The sequence below is a fragment of the Homo sapiens genome, chromosome 6 (genome assembly GCF_000001405.40).
Source record: "Homo sapiens chromosome 6, GRCh38.p14 Primary Assembly".
Taxonomy (NCBI): Eukaryota; Metazoa; Chordata; class Mammalia; order Primates; family Hominidae; genus Homo; species Homo sapiens.
The window spans coordinates 95,816,291-95,838,733 of record NC_000006.12 but is presented as its reverse complement, the minus strand read 5'-3'; positions in this window follow the sequence as shown (position 1 = coordinate 95,838,733).

Sequence of the window (22,443 nt, the reverse complement as noted above, 5' to 3'; positions counted from 1 at the left end):
ATTCTACCATATATGGCATACTGAACATTTTTATTTGGAAAAGTAAATGAAAATCAAACCCATTATATATTGTCTCCCCTGTACATATATTTAACTATTCTTAATTTTCTATTAAGTGCTCTCCTTTGTTATCATTTTAATCATTAAAAATAATATTAAGACTCAACCATAAGATTTACAAATATAAAACACTAATTGTAAAAACTTGTTAATTTTATTTGAAATTATTTATATTTGTACTCTATTGCTATCTTTGGGGCTGCAGGAAAGGAGACTCTTGCTTATTTGAATCACAGATATTTTAAATATTTCATAAACTGAGGCTGGGTTTTCACTATGTAGAGCATGATAAGAATGAGAGTGATAAGAACGATTCTGTCAGCATGACCTTGGAGTAGGCTTTATGTAAAATGGGCCTGGGTTTGATCTAACTTCAATGTTTCCAGTGTTAATTATTTGTGCTACTACAACAGTCTGCTAGGGTGGCCATAACAAAATACTATTGACAGGGTGGCTTAAACAACAGAAATTCATTTTCTCACAGTTCTGGACAGTAGAAGTCCAAGATCAAGGTTCTGGCAGGGTTGCCAGAAAAGTTAGTTTATAATGAGGCCTCTCTTCTTGGCTTGCTGATGGCCACCTACTCACTATGTCCTCACATGGCCTTTCTTCTGTGTTTGCACACCTCTGGTGTCTCTTTCTCCTATTAGGATACCAGTCCTATCAAATTAGGAGCCTGCCTTTATGAACTCACTTAATGTTAATTACCTCCTTAAAGGTCCTATCTCCAAATACAGTCACATTGGGAGTTAAAGCTTTAGCATATAAATTTTGGGGAGAAATAATTCAGTCTAAAACAGTGACCCTAGGCAAATAATTAACCTGAACCTCTGCTTCTCTTTGTGTAAAATGGAGATGTTAAGATGTTAAAGTTACCTTGAAGATTCATTATAATTCTGATTATTAAATGAGATATGATGTGTCAAATTCCCAACATAATAGCAATGCTTAATAAACTACACACACACACACACACACACACACACGCAGAGAGAGAGAGAGAACTGTTATTCTCTTTATGAATTTTCCACCCTTAGCCCTGACTCTCCATCTCCCACTGGTTGCTGGTTATTGCACAGGTATTCAAGAAGCAAGGGTAGCGGCTGCACTAATCAAAATGTAATCACAGAATACCTTTAAAACTAATAGTATTCCTTTAGGAATTAACTAAAATCAGTTTGGCTGTAGGTTAGGTCCCTCTTTTGTGATTGTCTATATTTTGCCTAAGTCTCTGTGCTCTTGAAAGATGGGAATTTATTCAGGGTATCCTTAGCAAATAAATGTGATGCAAATAGGCCCCCCAAAAAGTGTAATAGTTTGATATAGTATTCAAACCTCAACCTATAAGAAAGCCAAACAAGGTACATTTAGGTTAAGTGAGTTGCATAGGATTGCACAACTAATTTTTCACAATGATGAGCTCATTACCTAGGTTTCTTAACTCCTATCCAATACATTTTTTAGTTCATCTTAATTGTTTGCCTTACTTATTAGTTAAGTGACTTTGGCTCTCTAAACATGCCACTTGTTTTTTCATTTGTAAAATAGCAATATTATAGGGTTTTATCCATAGGATTTTTATGAGAATTAAATGTTTTTTTTTAAAGCAGAGCAGAGTGCCCAACATATTGTAATGATCTATAAAATTAAATTTTTATGATAATTTCTAACAGCATAATTAGGTTACCATTATCTCCTGGTCAGTTTCTTTACCTGCAGGTGCAATTTTTCACATCTAATTCCTTGAGGTAAATAACTGTTTTGTGACTGTTTTCCTCAGCCTTACTTTCAGAACTCTCCAAAACATAGCCTATGTGACCACTTGGTATGAGTTCATACTATACACCAACTTGAACCCCTGGCTCCAGTCCTCCAGTCACCAGTGTTTTCATTGGTTCTGTGTAATTCTCACTCTCAGAAGCACCCTTCTCTGGCAATATTCTATCAGATTCTAATCATTTTGAAAGGTGAAGATCAAGTTTACTTTCCCATTAGCCCCTTTCTCAATCATTGTTGTACATATTATTTCTCTTTCATTAGACTGAACTAATTCTAGTCTGATTCTTAGTCACTTCAATTGGACTTTTAGATAAATCATTCATCCCATATTCTCAAATAGAAATAAAATCTCAACAAGATTTTAACCACATCCTTTTGAAGCCTATTGGCTGGGAGTGACAGAGGATGGTAGAATCATATTCTTCTAGCTAATGGGAGTAACATTTACAATCAGATAAAGTTTTTATTTGTGCAGTCATTACGCAAAACATTTTGGTCATAGGAGACACAAGTTAGAAAGAGTATGGGTTACATCACTGCTAGGAAGCTTCAGGTTTAGTATCCCTCAGCTTAAATACTTTCTTAGTCACTCAGCACTAGAATGTACATTAGTCTTAAAAATATGTAACCAATGATGTGTGATTTCAGGCACAGTGGGATTTATGGCCCAAAGGAGAAACATAAGAGTATATAGATGGGATTTATATTGATCAAATAATTGATACTTGAGGATGCTGTAGCATATGACCTAAAAATTGAAGAATGAATAGTATTTTGATATACAGAGACATGAGAAAGGAGGCACATATTGGGAGAGTGAAAGGGTATTCCAGAAATAGCTTTATCAAAGAAGCAAGTTTAAATAAAAAGGAGGGCATATCAAGAATAGGACAAGTACTGTGGGCCTGAAACTTATATAATTTATGCCCTTTTTTTTAAAGAATACACATTTGAGAATAAAAATTTGATACAAAAGAAAATATTTTGAATGGGAAATGAAATCCCACAAAATTCCTGGAATCTTGGAGATTCAGGACTTTTCCTTCTGAGATATCTTTAGGCAATTTTTCAGAAATGCTGCCACAGAAGTGCTTCCTGATTGCAACCTGACTTCCAGGTCTTCTCTCAGAATTCTCTATTGAGAACTCCCAGTAATTTCTAGCATTCAATGATCTATGCAAGTAAGCAGTCCTGGCCTATCAAGTTCATCAGGCTCATGGTAAATCTGTGATTAAGAATGATAACGTTATAGGTAAGTAACATAACAGGAGAGAGAGGTAGAAGGTGTGGGGATAGTGCGGTTATGAAAGATCAACTTTAAATAGGGAAAAATGAGGTCAATCATGGGATGCCTTAAAAGCCATCTAAGCTATTTTGGATTTATTCATTGAAGAAGTATACAAGGAGCTTGGAGCAGTAAGTTTTGTAATTCAGGACTTCTTTTCTTATAATAGAAACCACACAGAAAATGATTTGCAGAGATACGTCATTTTTCCTGCAGCTAAAATGGAATATGTATTCATATAGGAATTGATTTGATCACCATTCCAATCTAATGTGAGCTATGTATAGGAGGTGACTTACGATAGGACTTCAATGGCTAACTTTGTACTCATTAAAAGGTATTTTTCATTTTCATGCCCTTAAAAAAACAAAAGTACTCATCAAAAGAAATTTGATAGAATTTTTATTATTTCCTTATCTTTCTTTAAAAGTGATTTTATTTTAATGACATGTACTTAGGAAAATAATGGGATGGAGTTTCATGATATGCTATTTTGATGGAGACAACTACTTTTATTACTAAGCTCCCATACATAGGGCAGAGAAACAGAGTATCAAAAGAAAGATAAAATATTGATAAGAATTTTTTTCAATTAGAAATATGAGTACAATTGCATATTTGAGACAAATAAAAAATTAAAGTGAAAGCTAAGCTAGCTCTATTTTGTCTTTTCCCTGTCCTGTGAGAGTCCCCATTTGTGTTATAGGGGCCAAGGGTTATAAGCCCCTATGAAATGCCACTCAAAATGCTAATACAGCTTGGAAATTATTCCTTCAAGTGACCCCTTAGAGGGGAACTGTATCAGAGTGGAGATGCTTTCTGACAAGTGAGGATTAGACATGGGTGTTCTGTTTTCACATACACTGTAAATCTAGTATCCTTTTATATAAGGAGGGTTGGGTGTTTTGACAAATGTACTGAGATGGTTTCCTTGTTCTGCAGTGAATATCTGTTTTACCATCTTGTAGGACAGCAAATATACATCCTCTTTACCCTCTCAACTTCAGCTTCTCAGGTGCTACAGCTTGTCTTGTGTTCAGTTAGGTCTCTGCTCCTGCTATGTGAGGCTAGCCTAGCACCCGATTTTACTTGCCCTGTTTCTTAGAGTGTTGTCCTAATATGTCTTGTGTCTGAGTGACCAAAGGAATTTATTAAAAAGCAGATTGTTTAAGGTCTGAGTCCAGAATAGTATCTAGGAATCCACACTTTTGCCAAGCTCTTCAAATATTTCCTAGGAGCCTCAAATTTGAAAGACTCTGTTCATGACTAAAATACAAAACTTAAAAGAGATTCTTGTCCCAACTCACCAGTATTCAGCAATGCAATACAACACTTTGAGTATGTGTCTCATTTTTCTTACTTGTAAGATAAGATATGCTTATAAAATGGTCATTATGGATCTAACATGAATACTCTCTATACTAAGTTACATTAGGCTCTGGTAAAACCTTTCGCCTTTACCACTTCCCCATTTCCCTTTCTATACTGCTCCCTAGTCCAGAAGTTCTCAAAGTGTAGCCTTGGTACCAGCAACATCATTATTCATCATCTGTGAACTTATCAGAAATGCAAACATACATGTCCTATATTGTCTCCTCCTCACTCCAAGTCCTATTAAACCAGGAAATCTAGGAGTGTGGCTCAGTCTTCCAGATGATTCCAGTGCACATTGAGGTTGGAGAATTCGATCTTAATTTCTTTCTTTCCTATCTCTGTTGCCTACTCAGGAAATAATGGAAATTGTTCAATCATATCACACCGAGTTCATTAAGAACGTCTGTATCTCATTAGAATATCTTGGTAAGAGAGTAAGTGCTAGGCCCACAGAAATAAAGTAGAAACTGAAAAAAAATAAAAAAAAAAGGTTATTTTAAATCCTTGAGGGAAAATATTTTGATGAGGTTAGTGAGGGTGTCATCAAAGAGTTATGCACTTTATGCTTGATCTACACCTGAAAGTATCTTAGTCCATTTGAGTTGCTATAAAGAATTACTGAGGCTGAATAAGTTATTAAAAAAGAGGTTTATTTGGCTCACAGTTCTGCAGGCCATATAAAAAGTACGGTGCCAGCATCTGCATGTGTTGAGGGCCTCATGGCAAAAAGTGAAGGGGACTTAGCTAGTCACGTGGTGAGGGAGGAAGCAAGAGCGAGGAGAGGGAGATGACAGGCTCTTTTTAACAAACAGTTCGCATGGGCACTAATAGAGTGAGGATTCATTACCATGAAGATGGCAACAAGCCATTTGTAAGGGATCTGCCCCTGTGACCCAAACACCTCCCGTTAGACTCCACCTCCAACGCTGTGGAACAAATTCAATGTAGCCTTAAGGAAGCCAAACAAACCATATCCAAAACAGAACAATATCCCATTGCCAATATCTCGTCCTGTGCAGATCCATTGGAATGTACCTGACTTATATCAACCCCCTCCAAGGTTTCTTTTCTATAGAACAACAAATAATAGATAAATTAATACATGCTGATATACAATTATGTTACTCAATACATGTAGCTTATAATTTTATTGGGCTCTTCTGAAGATGATTCCCCAATCCTACATGTTGGAAAAATCCAGGTAACATGGTAGATTGAGAGGTAGAAAGAGAGCTTCCATGAAGCTTGTTCTATCTCCTCATGACTCTTTCTTCAAAGGGAGTTTACACTTGTACCTGAAATATTTACTTTAAAAAAACATTAAAGGGAAATCTGATTGCAGTCTTATGTCATTTAAAAGGCAAGTAAGTAAGTACTAACTTTACCATGACATTTACATGAATGTATATTTTAGCTCAATGTAAAGAAAACTTTTCCAAGAACTAAAACTGTCTATACTAAAAATTCAAGCAGCATACTGTACATATTAAGAGCACATTCTGTGGAAGCCAAAGGATCTGAGTTCATATTTTGTGACATGTCTTATTTTTTGTTTGACCTTGAACAAAATAGTAAATGCTCAAAACCTTAGTTGTCTTAAAAAATAACACTAAATTGTCTTCTTCATAGGGTCATTGTGATAATTAAGTGTGATATTTGTTAGGTATTTAGCACAGTCCCCAGGACAAATGAGCACTTAGTAAATGGTAGCTATTATTTTCACAGTTTCTAGCAGAGGCTGAATTACCACCTTGCAGTGATGCCAAAAAGAGAGGGATGAAAGAACTGCTAACATCTATTTTAAATCTATGAACTTGAGACCCTAGAAAGCCATATATTCTCTAGTTTTTACACTTACATGAAGACTACTTCTAGAAAATAATTAAATGTGAAAAAAATTTCCTCAAAAAAATTTTAAGATTGCATTTTGGCTGGCTTACTTTTTCAGGGATCCATACAACAAATCCTAAATAATCCTTTCAATGGTAACTATTTTCCCCTTTGAAACTTTTCCACATTTGTAACACAGTTTCTTTGAGGATATTTTCATCTCTCACATAAAAGTTCAAACATGGACAGGCATCCATGTTAACATGCAGGTTATCTCCATCACTTACGTCAAATTCCATGAAGCTCATGGAACACTGGGTTTGCCTCAAATGCTATATTGTCTCTGGAGGAGTGGCCTTTTTCTTTTTCTAGTCTGCTTCAACATTGTTTTCTAGACATAGCTTTCTATTTCCCCTGAGTTAAGAGACTGATAAAAGTTTTTATCAATCTGACAAGTTATTTCTTGCCATTATTCAAGATATTTGACATTTGGAGGGTTTTAATGTGTACATTCTTTGATGGCATTTGAAAAACATCCATTAAGAATCAGCAATATTCTGATAAATCTCAGAGGAGCTTTTCTCTGCTATCCTCAGAAAATGTGATTTTAAATGAACAATGAATGCATAAAAGTCTTTTTTTTAAGTGGGAAAAACATTCTCCTTTTATCTCATAAACAAAAAGATACATTTTCCAAATGAAACCAAATATGAGACTCTAATACAATTTTAAACTATCACAGTGCCTTTGATTATAAATTTCATATATTGCTTATGAGTCCTGTGGATGTTTTGGCAAATTTTTGTTAGAGTAAAAGCAGAAATGTAACTCCAAAAAGTGAACCCTTTATATCTGTCACTTGTTACAATCCTTCTTGACTTAATTCCTGGCCAAGTAGATGTACCATTAATAATTTATTTATGTTAGTATTGACTTCATTTGCTTTCACACTGGGTGCAGGCCCTTTGGGAACCTAGAATGCCAATAGAGTGGATTTCAGTCAGAGATTTATGGAGTCAATGATCTTGGGTCCACAGCAACAATCTAACAAATGACTCTGGCAGAGGTGAGTGGGCATTCAGTGTCAGAGACTTTGGAGGCAATCCATTTATGAGAATCAATAATCATAACTCAGTCTGGGGCCCCTAGTTTGTAATCTACACAGCTTTGTTTATTATCAACCCACTCTGGTAAAAAATAAAAAAAAATAGAGCTATTGCATGTTCTTTTCCATGTAATTTTGCATCGGTATTATAAAGCTTTTACTATACTTGCATTTACATAAAATTCTAAGGGCAGTATTGAGTCAGAGGGAAAGTGATATGGTTTGGCTGTGTTTCCCCACCCGAATCTCATGTTGAATTTTAATCCTCAGTGTTGGAGGAGGGGTCTGGTGGCTTGGTGGCAGGTGATTGGATAATGGAGGCAGACTTTCCCCTTGCTGTTCTTGTAATAATGAGTGAGTTCTCATGAGATCTGGTCTTTTAAAAGTGTGTAGCACTTCCCCCTTGACTCTCTTCTTCCTGCCCTGGCCATGTGAAGACGTGTCTGCTTCCCTTTTGCCTTCCACCATAATTGTAAGTTTCCCGAGGCCTTCCCAGCCATACTTCCTGTACAGCCTGCACAACTGTGAGTCAATTGAACCTCTTTTCTTCATAAATTGTCCAGTCTCAGGTATGTCTTTATAGTAGTGTGAGAATGGACTAATACAGGAGGAAACAACTTGAATTTAAAACCATAAACAATGGGCAGAAACCTTCTTAATAGCTTTAAAATTTTAGATACAAATTAAAAGGAGCATAGGTTACATCACTGCTTGAAAGCATCAGGGTTTAGAATTCCTCAGATTAAATATTTTGTTAGTCACTTAGAACTAGAATGTTCTTAGACTTTGGACTCTGTAGCAGTGATTCTTTTAAAGAATTTTATATATAATATTTTTATGATACTTTCATTGCTCCAATTTTACAAAAATGGGAAGCAAAACACAGAATTTAAGTAACTTGTCCAGAGTCTCTAGCTTGTATCAGGGTAGATGCGATTCAAATCATGACAATTGAACTTCAGGGTCCATGTTCTTAACAATTACACATACTGTCCTTAACTATTAAACATAGAATAACTTATTATATAGAATTATGTAAAAGATAGGGAATAAGCTCTTATTTATTAATATTATAGTAACTAGGTGTTTCAAATATTATTGTCCCAGAATACATGCAAGTTAAAATTTATATGTAGCATCAAACCCATTTTACAGATTAGGGAAATAAATTTCAGAGCGATAAAGCAATTTGCCATATATTCTATGGTTAAGAAGCAGCAGGTCTGAGATTTAACTTTAAATCTTCCTGAACTCAAAAATTAAATTATTTGTAGTTTATCATATTGACCTTAATAATCATAAATAATATTTCTGCCTGTTAGAAGTTTAAGCCCTAAAGTTACCCTTTAGAATTTTATTGGTTGAATGTACAGATGGTTCTGAAAAATACAGTAAACCTCTAAAGTATATTGCTATGCTTAGAAGAAATTGAAATATTCTTTTTGTCTCCCTGTAGTGACTGAAATTTCTTCAGGAATAGTAATTTCCTATTTTATAACATTATAAAATATACACCTTAATTCAACTGAAAGCTCAAATAGATTTTTCAGCATTCAGTAAAGAGAATGTGATATATACATAAAATGTCTTCTCCATAAACTAGGCAACTGATTCCTGCAATTATAGATAATCATTAGATAACAAAACCTTTATCAGCTATTTTAACCTTGAAAGAATCTTTACATTGTTGATGCATAATGCACAAGGGAGTGCTCTCTTGGTAACTGCAAATATATGTGAAGGTATAAATTAGTATAGGTAGGGAAGAAAGATTCAGATTTGCTACAGAATTCATATCCAATTTGGAGTCTTAAAATAACTGAAATCTGGCTCTTCATGGGGGCATAGTTTCAAACCATATTGAAAGGGTCAAGAGTAATGGATATTTGATATGCAGCTATACTGCAGCAATTACATTTTTATAAGGTTAATTGGAGTCATATGGGTAGTTTAACACAGCATGGTTCTTTTAGTACTTCTGAATAACCCACTTGACTTGAAAGTCCTCAAATCAAGTCTTACATTAGAGGACCATTTTAAAAGCACAGATATCTAGTGCCAAATGGTCATGAGAATCTGCTCTATTTTATTTTACTAGATTAATGACAAAAATCTGCGACTTTGATAGAAGTAGCAATAATAGGATAAGACTAACCAAAGTAGACAAAACCAACAGTTCAGATACATAATTTGTGAAGACAGGGAAGTAGCTAGCAAATAAGTCTAGGGACATCAAGGTGGGGTGTATTAATGTGGGTTTAAAATGAAATTAGAACCTAGATATAAAAAATAGCTCAGGACTTGCCATTTCTTCTCATAGGGCTCCTGAAAGAAAAATATGCCCAGAAAAAGCAAAATTACCATTTTACTGTGAGTAGACTTTGCCTTGAATCATCTGTGACTCTTTAATGGACTAGCCAGAGGTAACATAAGATAGAAACAAAGTAAGCCCAAATAGGCCAAAACCAAAGTAGGTGAAAGATCTTTTCAGTTTATATCCTCCGCAAATCCCAATCTTATTTCAAACTGCAATTTGAAATAAGTCTAAATCATATGTACTTTCTTAAAGAACATGAAGAAAAGGTAAATTGTCCCAATGCCAAAGGTGAAGCCCCTCACTTGATTTCCTGCCTTGGAGCTTTTCGTAAGTGTTTCCTGTAGTGTCTTCCTTAGCTATGTGGAAAAAGATCAGTTAAAGAAAGAAAGATGCCACCCTGACCCATAATCCTTTTGAAATACCTTCCCTTTGAAGTATAGCCCATTACAGTATCTTCAACTTGAAAAGCTAGGATTAAAACCTTTCTTTTTGGGGATGAAGTTGAGGCTAGTTTATGGAAGCAGGGAGCAGAAAAAAAAAAGTTGATTTTCTTCTAGATAGAATAATACCCCTGACTTTACCATGTACCTTTTATTAAACCCTTAGGTTTAATAGCAAGCCCCACAATCAATGAAGAATATGAGAATTTTCTTTTGGGCAGATAATCACAGATAATCAAAAAGGCCTGCCAACAACTTCTCTAAGCCTTGCACTACAATTTTTTTCTTAGACCAATAAATTGGAAAGTTTACCCTCTAGAGATTTTTTTTATTTTACTTCTAGAGTGTTTGAAAAAGTTCAGAAAACTACACTGAGTTTATTCAAAATTAATCTCAAGCATAAAATTAAAAAGATATTCTAAATCTTACTCCGAAAATTTCTGTTACCCAACTAAGCTTGCAAAACAAGATTTCCTGGTGCACATCAGGTGGCAACACAGCTTGAAAACACCATCATGCCAGTCATGTAAATATAACAGCAGTGTGTTAATGCCTTCTAACAGGTAACAAAAGACAACTTTCTGCAGGTAATTTCTATTTCCCAAAGAAACTTTGAAGTTCTTGCTATAGGTTGAATGTGTTCCCCAAAGTTCATGTATTGAAAACTTGATACCCAATGTGGCAGTGTTGAGAGGTGAAGTCTAATGGAAGAATTTGGTTCATGGGGTACCACCTTTGAGAATAAATTAATGCTGTTATCATGGGAAAGTGTTTCTTATAAATGGACAAGTTTGACTCCCTCTTGCTCTCTTGCCATCTTTTTGCCCTTCCAAAATGTTATGATGATGTAAGAAAGCTCTTGCTAGATGCAGGGCTCTCAACATTAGACTTCCCAGCCTTCAGAATCATGAGCCAATATATTTTGGTTCATCATAAATTACCCAGTCTATGGTATTCTGTTAATAGCAGCACATAATGTATTTAGAAAGTTCCAATTAGAAACCAAAAAAGAGCCTGCATTGCCAAGTCAATCCTAAGCCAAAAGAACAAAGCTGGAGGCATCACGCGACCTGACTTCAAACTATACTACAAGGCTACAGTAACCAAAACAGCATGGTACTGGTACCAAAACAGAGATATAGACCAATGGAACAGAACAGAGCCCTCAGAAATAATGCCGCATATCTGCAACTATCTGATCTTTGACAAACCTGACAAAAACAAGCAATGGGGAAAGGATTCCCTATATAATAAACGGTGCTGGGAAAACTGGCTAGCCATATGTAGAAAGCTGAAACTGGATCCCTTCCTTACACCTTACACAAAAATTAATTCAAGATGGATTAAAGACTTACATGTTAGACCTAAAACCATAAAAACCCTAGAAGAAAACCTCGGCAGTACCATTCAGGACATAGGCATGGGCAAGGACTTCATGTCTAAAACACCAAAAGCAATGGCAACAAAAGCCAAAATTGACAAATGGGATCTAATTAAACTAAAGAGCTTCTGCACAGCAAAAGAAACTACCATCAGAGTGAACAGGCAACCTACAGAATGGGAGAAAATTTTTGCAACCTACTCATCTGACAAAGGGCTAATATCCAGAATCTACAATGAACTCAATCAAATTTACAAGAAAAAAACAAACAACCCCATCAAAAAGTGGGCGAAGGATATGAACAGACACTTCTCAAAAGAAGACATTTATGCAGCCAAAAAACACATGAAAAAAATGCTCATCATCACTGGACATGAGAGAAATGCAAAACAAAACCACAATGAGATACCATCTCACACCAGTTAGAATGGCAATCATTAAAAAGTCAGGAAACAACAGGTGCTGGAGAGGATGTGGAGAAATAGGAACACTTTTACACTGTTGGTGGGACTGTAAACTAGTTCAACCATTGTGGAAGTCGGTGTGGCTATTCCTCAGGGATCTAGAACTAGAAATACCATTTGACCCAGCCATCCCATTACTGGGCATATACCCAGAGGATTATAAATCATGCTGCTATAAAGACACATGCACACGTATGTTTATTGCGGCACTATTCACAATAGCAAAGACTTGGAACCAACCCAAATGTCCAACAATGATAGACTGGATTAAGAAAATGTGGCACATATACACCATGGAATACTATGCAGCCATAAAAAATGATGAGTTCATGTCCTTTGTAGGGACATGGATGAAGCTGGAAACCATCATTCTCAGCCAACTATTGCAAGGACAAAAAACCAAACACCGCATGTTCTCACTCATAGGTCGGAACTGAACAATGAGAACACATGGACCCAGGAAGGGGAATATCACACACAGGGGACTGTCGTGGGGTGGGGGTGTGGGGTGGCATAGCATTAGGAGAAATACGTAATGTAAATAACGAGTTAATGGGTGCAGCACACCAACATGGCACAGGTATACATATGTAACAAACCTGCACATTGTGCACATGTACCCTAAAACTTAAAGTATAATAATAATAATAATAAAGAAAGCTCCAATTTGAAACTTCTCCCTTTATTTTCATTATTTTTATTTGAAATTTGCTTTATTGTTTGTTATTAATCTAAGTGTTTTTACTTTTTTTTTTAATTTCCAACGTTTATTGTAGGTTCAGGGGTACATGTGCAGGACGTGCAGTTTTGTTACATAGGTAAACGTGTGATGTGCCATGCTGGTTTACTGCACAGAACATCCCATCACCTAGGTATTAAGTCAAACATCCATTAGCTATTCTTCCTGATACTCTCCCTCCTCCCACCTCCCACACTCTTGACAGGCCCTGGTGTGTGTTTTTCCCCATCATGTGTCCATGTGATCACATCATTCAGCTCCCACTCACAAGAGAGAACTTTGGTTTTCTGTTCCTGTGGTTAATTTGCTGAGGAAAATAGCTTCCAACTTCATCCACATCCCTATGAAGGACATGACCTTCTTCATTTTTATGGCTGCATTGTATTCCATGGTTCTCCCCGGCTGGAGTGGAGTGGCGCGATCTTGGCTCACTGCAACCTCCGCCTCCCGGGTTCAAGCAATTCTCCTGCCTCAGCCTCCTGAATAGCTGGGACTACAGGTGCCCGCCACCACGCCCAGCTAATTTTTTTTGTATTTTAGTGGAGATGGGGTTTCACCGTGTTGCCCAGGCTGGTCTCAAACTCCTGAGCTCAGGCAATCCATTCGCCTCAGCTTCCCAAAGTGCTAGGATTACAGGCATGAGCCACCGTGCCCGGCCCCACATTTTCTTTAGTCTATCATTGATGGGCATTTAGGTTGATTGCATGTCGTTGCTATTGTGAATAATGCTGCAATGAACATACACGTGCATGTATCTTTATTATAGAATGATTTATATTCCACTGAGTATATACCCAGTAATGGGATTGCTGGGTCAAATAGTACTTCTGCCTCTAGGTCTTTGAGGAATCGCCATGCTGTCTTCCATAATGGTTGAACTGATTTGCACTCCCACGGAACAGTGTAAAAGCATTCCTTTTTCTCCACAACCTCATAAGCATCCGTTGTTTTTTGACTTTTTAAAAAGGATTTTTCCATAAGTTATTGGGGTACAGGTGGTATTTGGTTACGTGAGTAAGTTCTTTAGTGGTGATTTGTCAGATTTTGGTGTCCCCATCACCCTAGCAGTATACACTGCACCGTATTTGTAGTCTTCTGGCCCTTGCCCCCTTCCCACTCTTCCCCACAAGTCCCCAAAGTCAATTGCATCATTCTTATGCCTTTGCGTCCTCATAGCTTAACTCCCACATATCAGTGAGAACACACGATGTTTGGTTTTCCATTCCTGAGTTACTTTACTTAGAAAAATAGTCTCCAATCTCATCCAGGTCACTGCAAATGCTGTTTTTTCATTCCTTTTTTATGGCTGAGTAGTATTCCAACAAATATATAAATATATCATCATAAAGAAGTATATATAATATATACATATATATATATATACATATATATATATCTCACAGTGTATTTATCCACTCGTTGATTGATGGGCATTTGGGTTGTTTCCATGATTTTGCAACTGTGAATTGTGCTGCTATAAACGTGTGTGCAAGTATCTTTTTTGAATAATGACTGATTTTCCTCTAGGTAGATACCAAGTAGTGGGATTGCTGGATCAAATGGTAGTTCTGCTTTTAGTTCTTTAAGGAATCTGAACATTGTTTTCTGTAGTGGCTGTACTAGTTTACATTCCCACCAGCAGTATAGAAGTGTCCCCTGTTCAATGCATCCACGCCAGCATATACTGTTTTTTGATTATGGCCATTCTTGCAGGAGTAAGGTGGTATTGCATTGTGGTTTTGATTTGCATTTCCCTGATCCTTAGTGATATTGAGCATGTTTTTTCATATTTTTGTTTTCTATTTGTATATCTTCTTTTGAGAATTGTCTATTTATGTCCTTAGCCCACTTTTTGATGGGATTTTTTTTCTTACTGATTTGTTTGAATTTGTTGTAGATTCTGAACATTAGCCCTTTGTCAGATGTATAGACTGTGAAGATTTTCTCCCACTCTGTGGGTTGTCTGTTTACTCTGCTGACTGTTCCTTTGCCTTGCAAAAGCTCTTTAATTTAATTAGGTCCCAGCTATTTATCTATGTTTTTATTGCATTTGCTTTGGGGTCCTTGGTCATGAAATGCTTTCCTAAGCCAATGTCTAGAAGGGTTTCTCCAATGTTATCTTCTAGAATTTTTATAGTTTCAAGTCTTAGGTTTATGTCCTTAATCCATCTTGAGTTGATTTTTGTATAAGGTAAGACATGAGAATCCAGTTTCATTCTCTTACATGTGGCTAGCCAATTATCCGAGCACCACTTGTTAAAAAGAATGTCCTTTCCTCACTTTATGTTTTTGTTTGCTTCGTTGAAGATCAGTTGGCTGTAAGTATTTGGGTTTATTTCTGGGTTCTCTGTTCTGTTACATTTGTCTATGTGCCTATTTTTGTACAGGTACCATGCTGTTTTTGTGACTATGGCGTTATAGTATAGTTTGAAATCAGGCAGTGTGATGCCTCCAGATTTGTTCTTTTTGTGTAGTCTTGCTTTGACTATGTGGACTATTTTTTGGTTCCATTTGAATTTTAGAATTTTTTTTCTGATTCTGTGAAGAATGATGGTGGTATTTTGATGGGGATTGCATTGAATTTGTAGATAGCTTTGGCAATATGGTCATTTTCACATTATTGAATCTATCCATCCATGAGCATGGGATGTTTTTTCCATTTGTTCATGTCATCTATGATTTCTTTCAGCAGTGTTTAGTGTTTTGTAGTTTTCCTTGTAGAGATCTTTCGACTCCTTGGTTAGACATATTCATAAGTATTTTTTTTTTGAAGCTATTGTAAAAGGGGTTGAGTTCTTGATTTGATTCTCTGCTTGGTCACTGTTGGTGTATAGAAGAGCTACTGATTTGTGTACATTGACTTTGTATCTGGAAAGTTTGGTGAATTCTTTTATCAGTTCTAGGAGCTTCCTGGAGGAGTCCTTAGGGTTTTCAATGTAAACAATCATATTGTCAGCATATCTTCCTGATTTAAGCTAGGAGGCTTTTATTTTTCCAGGAATTTATCTATCTCTTCTAGGCTTTCTAGTTTTTGTGCATAAAGGTGTTCACAGTAGCCTTGAACGATTTTTTGTATTTCAGTGGTGTCAGTTGTAATATCTCCTGTTTCATTTTCTAGTGTGGTTATTTGGATTTTCTGTCTTCTTTTCTTGGTTAATCTTGCCAGTGATCTATCAATTTTATTTATCTTTTCAAAGAATCAGCTTTTTGTTTCATTTATCTTTTGTATTTTGTGTGTGTGTGTGTGTTTCAATTTTATTTAGTTCTGTTCTGACCTTGGTTATTTCCCTTATTCTGCTGGATTTGGGTTTGGTTTGTTCTTATTTCTCTAGTTCCTTGGGGTGTGACCTTAGAGTGTCAGTTTGTGCTCTTTCAGCCTGTTTGATGTAGGCATTTAAGGCAATGAACTTTCTTTTAGCATCACCTTTGCTGTATCCCAGAGATTTTGATAGGTTGTATCATTATTGTCATTCACTTCAAATAATTTTTTAATTTCCATCTTGATTTCAGTTTTGACCCAATGCTCATTAAGGAACAGGTTATTTAATTTTCCTGTATTTGCATGGTTTTGGAGGTTCCTTTTGGAGTTGATTTCCAGTTCTATTCCACTGTAGTCTGAGAGAGTGCTTGATATAATTTCAATTTTCTTAAATTTATTGAGGCTCATTTTATGGCCTATCACATGGTCTATCTTGGAGAAAGTTCCATGGGCTGTTGAATAGAATGTGTATTCTGCGGTTGTTGGATGAAATGTTCTGTATATATCTAAGTCCATTTGTTCCAAGGTGTAGTTTAAATCCATTGTTTCTTTGTTGACTTTCTATCTTGATGACCTGTCTTGTGCTGTCAGTGGAGTATTGAAGTCCCCCACTATTATTGTGTTGCTGTCTGTCTCATTTCTTAGGTCCATTAGTAATTTCATTATAAATTTGGGAGCACCAGTGTTAGGTAAATACATGTTTAGAATTGTGTTATTTTCCTGTTGGACAAGGCCTTTTACCATTGTATAATGTCCCTCTTTGTTTCTTTTAACTGCTGTTGCTTTAAAGTTTGTTTTGTCTGATGTACGAATAGCTATCCCTACTCACTTGTGGTGTCCATTTGCACGAAATGCCTTTTTCCACCCCATTACTTTATGTTTATGTGAGTCCTTATGTGGTAGATGAGTCTCCTGAGGGCAGCAGATGGTTGGTGAGTTCTTATCCATTCCGTGGTTCTGTATCTTTTAAGGGGAGCATTTAGGCCATTTACATCCAGTGTTAGTATTAAAATGTGAGGTATCATTGCATTCATCATCCTCTTTGTTGCCTGTGTACTTTGGTTTTTTTGTTTTTGGTTTTTCATTTGTATTTTAGTTTTATAGGTCCTGTGTGATTTATGCTTTAAAGAGGTTCTGTTTTGATGTGTTTCCACATTTTTTTTTAAGATTTGGAGCTCCTTTTAGCAGTTTTTGTTTTGGTGGCTTGATAATAGTGAATTCTTTCAGCATTTGTTTGTCTGAAAAAGATTGTCTCTTTCCTTCATATATGATGCTTAGTTTCTCTGGATACAAAATTCTTGATAATTGTTTTGTTTGAGGAAGCTGAAGATAGGGCACCAGTCCCTTCTAGCTTGTAGGTTTTCTGCTGAGAAATCTGCTGTTAATCTGATAGATTTTCCTTTATAGGTTACCTGGTGCTTGTGTCTTACAGCTCTTAAGATTCTTTCCTTTGTCTTAACTTTGGATAGCCTAATGACAATAAGCCAGGTGCAAATCTTTTTGTGGTGAATTTCCCAGGTGTTCTCTGTGCTTCTTGTGTTTGGATGTCTAGGTCTCTAGCAAGGCTGGGGAAGTTTTCCTCGATTATTCCCCCAAATATATTTTCCAAGCTTTTAGAATTCTCTTCTTCCTCAGGAATGCCAATCATTCTTAGGTTTGTTTATTTACCATAATCCCAGACTTCTTGGAGGCTTTGTTCATATTTCCTTATTCTTTTTTCTTTGTCTTTGTTGGATTGAGTTAATTCGAAGACCTTGTCTTCGAGCTCTGAATTTCTTTCTTCTTACTCAATTCTATTGCTGAGACTTTCCAGAGCATTTTGCATTTCTAAGAGTGTGTCCAAAGTTTCCTGAATTTTTGATTGTTTTTTTCTTTAAGCTATCTATTACCTTGAATATTTCTCCCTTCACTTTTTTATAATAGTTTAGATTTCCTTGAACAAGGAAATCTTTGTTTCCTGAAACAAAAAGGCTTCGCCTTTCTCTGGTCCCTTCCTATTTAGCTTAATAACTAACCTCCAGAATTCTTTTTCAGGTAAATCAGGGATTTCTTCTTGGTTTGGATCCATTGCTGGAGAACTAGTGTAATAGTGTAATTTTGGGTGGGTGATGATAAGTCTTGTTTTGTCATATTACCAGGGTTGGTTTTCTTGTTCCTTCTCATTTGGGTACGCTCTGTCAGAGGGAAGGTCTAGTGCTGAAGGCTGTTGTTCATATTCTTTTGTCCCACGGGGTGTTCCCTTGATGTAGTACTCTCCCCCTTTTCCTATGGATGTGGCTTCCTGTGAGCCACACTGCAGTAATTGTTGTCTGTCTTCTGGGTCTAGCGGTCCAGCAGTCCAGCGATCGTACCAGGCTCCAGGCTGGTACTGGGGGTTGTCTGCACAGAGTCTTGTGATGTGAACTGTCTATAAATCTCATTGCCTGTTCCAGTGGAGGTGATGAGGGGTGCAATGGACTCTTTCAGGGTTCTTAGCTTTAGTGGTTTAATGTTCTGTTTGTGCTGGTTTTGTGGTCTAATGTTCTTTTTGTGCTCGTTGCCCTCCTGCCAGGAGGTGGCGCTTTCCAAAGAGCATCAGCTGTGGTATTAGAAGGAGGAATTGGTGGTTGGCAGGGCCCTAGAACTCCCAAGATTATATACCCTTTGTCTTCTGCTACCAGGGTGGGTAGGGAAAGACTATCAATGAGGCAGGGCTAGGTGTGTCTGAGCTCAGACTCTCCTTGGGCAGGTCTGGCTGTGGCTGCTGTGGGGGATGGGGGTGAGATTCCCAGGTCACTGGAGTTGTGTACCTAGGAGGATTATGGCTGCCTCTGCTGAGTCAGGCAGGTTGTCAGGAAAATGGGGCAGAGCCAGCAGTCACAGGCCTCACCCAGCTCCCATGCAAACCAAAGGGCCAGTCTCATTCCCACCGTGCCTCCCCCAACAGCTCTCAGACCATTTCCAGGTGGAGAGCAATATGGGTTTGAAAACCTGCCCCAGACTATCCACCTCCTATCTGTGAAAGAAAAGCACTTAGTACTTTCTCTGCCTGTGAAGTCTGCACACCAGATTAGCACCCTCCCACCGAGTTCTCACCAGGAGACTTATCACCCCGTTCAAATTGTTAACAAGTTCAGCTACATATTTGTTTCTCCATGTTTAGTTTTACCCCCTGCTCCTCTCCGGATGGATCCTTGTGGTGCCAGGCAGGAATGGCCTGCTAGGGAACCCAAAAAGCTCCCAGGGCCTTTCTGTTTCTACCTCTACCCCTGTATTTCACTCAGCTTTCCAAATTGACTCAGCTCCAGGTAAAGTTGGAAACTTCTCCTGCAAACAGGCCTTCAGCTTCTCCAATTAGGGTGTGTATTTGGGAGAGGAGGGTCACCCTTTCCCACTTCCACAGTTGAGGCACTCAGAGTTTTGCAGGAGATGGAGGGGGGTCTCCTGTGTACTGCAGGAGCAGTCTGCTTCCTTCAGAGGGTCTGTGGGTCCTCTCAGGATTGCTGGTCTATTTTTTGACTTTTTAATAACAGTTCTGACTGGCATGAGATGATATCTCATTGTGGTTGTGATTTGCATTTCTGTAATGATCAGTGAGTTTGAGCTTTTTTTCATATGTTTGTTTGTTGGCTGCATGTATGTCTTCTTTTGAGGACGGTTTGGTCATGTCCTTTGCCCACTTTTTAATGTGGTTGTTGTTTCCTTTAAATTTGTTTAAGTTCCTTGTAGATGCTACATATTATACCTTTGTTAGAGGGATAGATGGCAAAAGTTTTCTCCTTTTCTGTAGGTAGTCTTTTTACTCTGTTGATAGTTCTTTTGCTGTGCAGAAGCTCCTTAGTTGTGAATTGGAGTTCATTCATGATTAGGTCTCTGCTTGTCTGTTGTTGGTGTATAGGAATGCTTGTGATTTATGCACATTGATTTTGCATACTGAGACTTTGCTGAAGTTGCTTATCAGCTTGAGAAACTTTTGGGCTGAGACATTGGGATTTTCTAAATATAGGAGCACGTCATCTGCAAGCAAAGATAGTTTGACTTCCTCTCTTCCTATCTGAATACGCTTCATTTCTTTTGCTTGCCTCATTGCCCTGGCCAGAGATTCCAATACTATGTTGAATAGGAGTGGTGAGAGAGAGCATCCTTGTCTTGTGCTCATTTTCAAGTGGAATGCTTACAGCTTTTTTCCCATTCAGTACGATACTGGCTGTGTGTTTGTTGTATATGGCTCTTATTGTTTTGAAGTGTGTTCCTTCAATACTTAATTTATTGAGAATTTTAAGGGACGTTGAATTTTATTGAAGGCCTTTTCTGCATCTATTGAGATAATCATGTGGTTTCTGTCTTTAGTTCTGTCTACGTGATGAATCACTTCTATTGATTTGCATATGTTGAACCAACCTTGCATCCCTGGGATGAAGCCTACTTGATCGAAGTGAATAAGCTTTTTGATGTGCTGCTGAATTCAGTTTGCCAGTATTTTGCTGATTTTTGCAGCGATGTTCATCAAGGATATTGGCCTGTAGTTTTCTTTATTTGTTGTATCTCTGCCAGGTTTTGGTATCAGAATGATGCTGGCCTCATAGAATGAGCTAGAGAGGATCCCCACCTTTTCAATTTTTTGGAATAGTTTCAGTTGGAATGGTACCAGCTCTTCTTTGTACCTCTGGTAGAATCAGCTGTGAATCTGTCTGGTCCTAGGCTTTTTTTTAGTTGGTAGGCTCTTTATTACTGCTTCAATTTCAGAACTCATTATTGGTCTATTCAGGGATGTAATTTCTTCCTGGTTTAGTCTTGGGAGGATGTATGTGTCCAGGAATTTATTCATTTAGATTTTCTAGTTTATGTGTATAGAAGTGTTTATAATATTCTCTGATAATTTTCTAGCTTATGTGCATAGAGGTATTTATAGTATTATCTGATAGCTGTTTGTATTTCTTGGCGGGGGGGTCAGTGGTGATATCTTCCTTATCATTTCTAATTGTGTTTATTTGAACCTTCTCTCTTTTCTTCCTTATTAGTCTACCTAGCAGTCCAGAAAAACTGAGGTTGAAAAAGTGTCCCTCCCTTATTGGCCAGATGGTTTTAATCTGTAGCAGCAGCCTGGATTATCTGTCACTAAAACAGGTGGAGCTTCTCCTGCATTTCCAAAGCTGTGCACCACCACGAAATTATTAATTGATTTAGTATTTCTAAAGATCCATGTAGTCAACAAATCTATTAAGGAATCCAAATACCAATTGTACATCAATAAAATTTAGAAAACACCAAGTTGTTATAAGTTTAAAATCAATGTACCAATTTTCTCTACCTTACTCCTCAATCAAAAGTAGTGTTCCCAGAACTGTAACATATAGATCTATACTGATTTGCTAACCATAACCCATAGCAAAGAATTAACATTATGGATAAAAGGACTACATGGAAAAGGAAAACAAAGTTTTAGAAAGGAAAGATACATTTCTTGATTTTGTTCTCTAGTTTGCATTAGTTGATGCTGGTGATCTACAACCCACAATGGGTTATTATGACAACATGCTTTACATTTTCTGGAGGAAATAACTTTCATTTATAAAATGAGTTTCTCTGCCAGAAATTGGAACCCAAATCACCTCTGGCTTTTTGCGTATTGAGACATTTGCACTACAGGCCTCTAGATTTTCCCTTTTAGTTTCAATTTTCTCCTCTACCCCAACCTTAGCAATTTCAGTGGGGCTTTTTCTGTGAAGAATCTGAGCATAGGCCCAAGTGTCACAACATCTTAGGTATCCACTGTGTGTGACCTGAAACAAATTATAACAACTTTATTAACTCCAGTTCACTCATCTATTAAAAGATCATAATAATAGCACTCTATCTCACATGGCAATGTTAAGGATTTAATGAGATAATATAAGTAACATGCCTTGTGCAGGGCCTGACACACAATAAGTACAGGGCATGTTTTTAATAGGTCACTGTCCAAACACATATCCTGATCTTGAGGGTCTTCTGCTCTTCTCTTTTATGCTTCTTCATCTTTAGCAGAAGGTAATGGGGCCCTAGGGCAAGAGGATCTCACAGATGATAAAATACGGAAAAGAGATTGGGTGAATTTAGGAATGATAAAGACATCAAATGTGTAGCACCATAAAGGGTCATCAAGAGCTGTGTCATAGCTACATACATTATGCTATGATTTTCTTTTATGGAATGGTCACAAATTCACATGGTTCCCCAAGGTCTGGCATTTGATTACACATTGTCCCAGTAAATTTTGTACTCCTCTATGCTTTGTTTACCCTAATAAGATTGGAAGCTATTTGAAAATAGGATCGTAGCATCTTGAGTTCTTTTATAATTTGTACCTTCAATATGTAATATAGTACAGGACACTTAATCTTCACTTTTTTGTTGGTTAACTAATGGAGAAATTAGATATGATTGTGTTG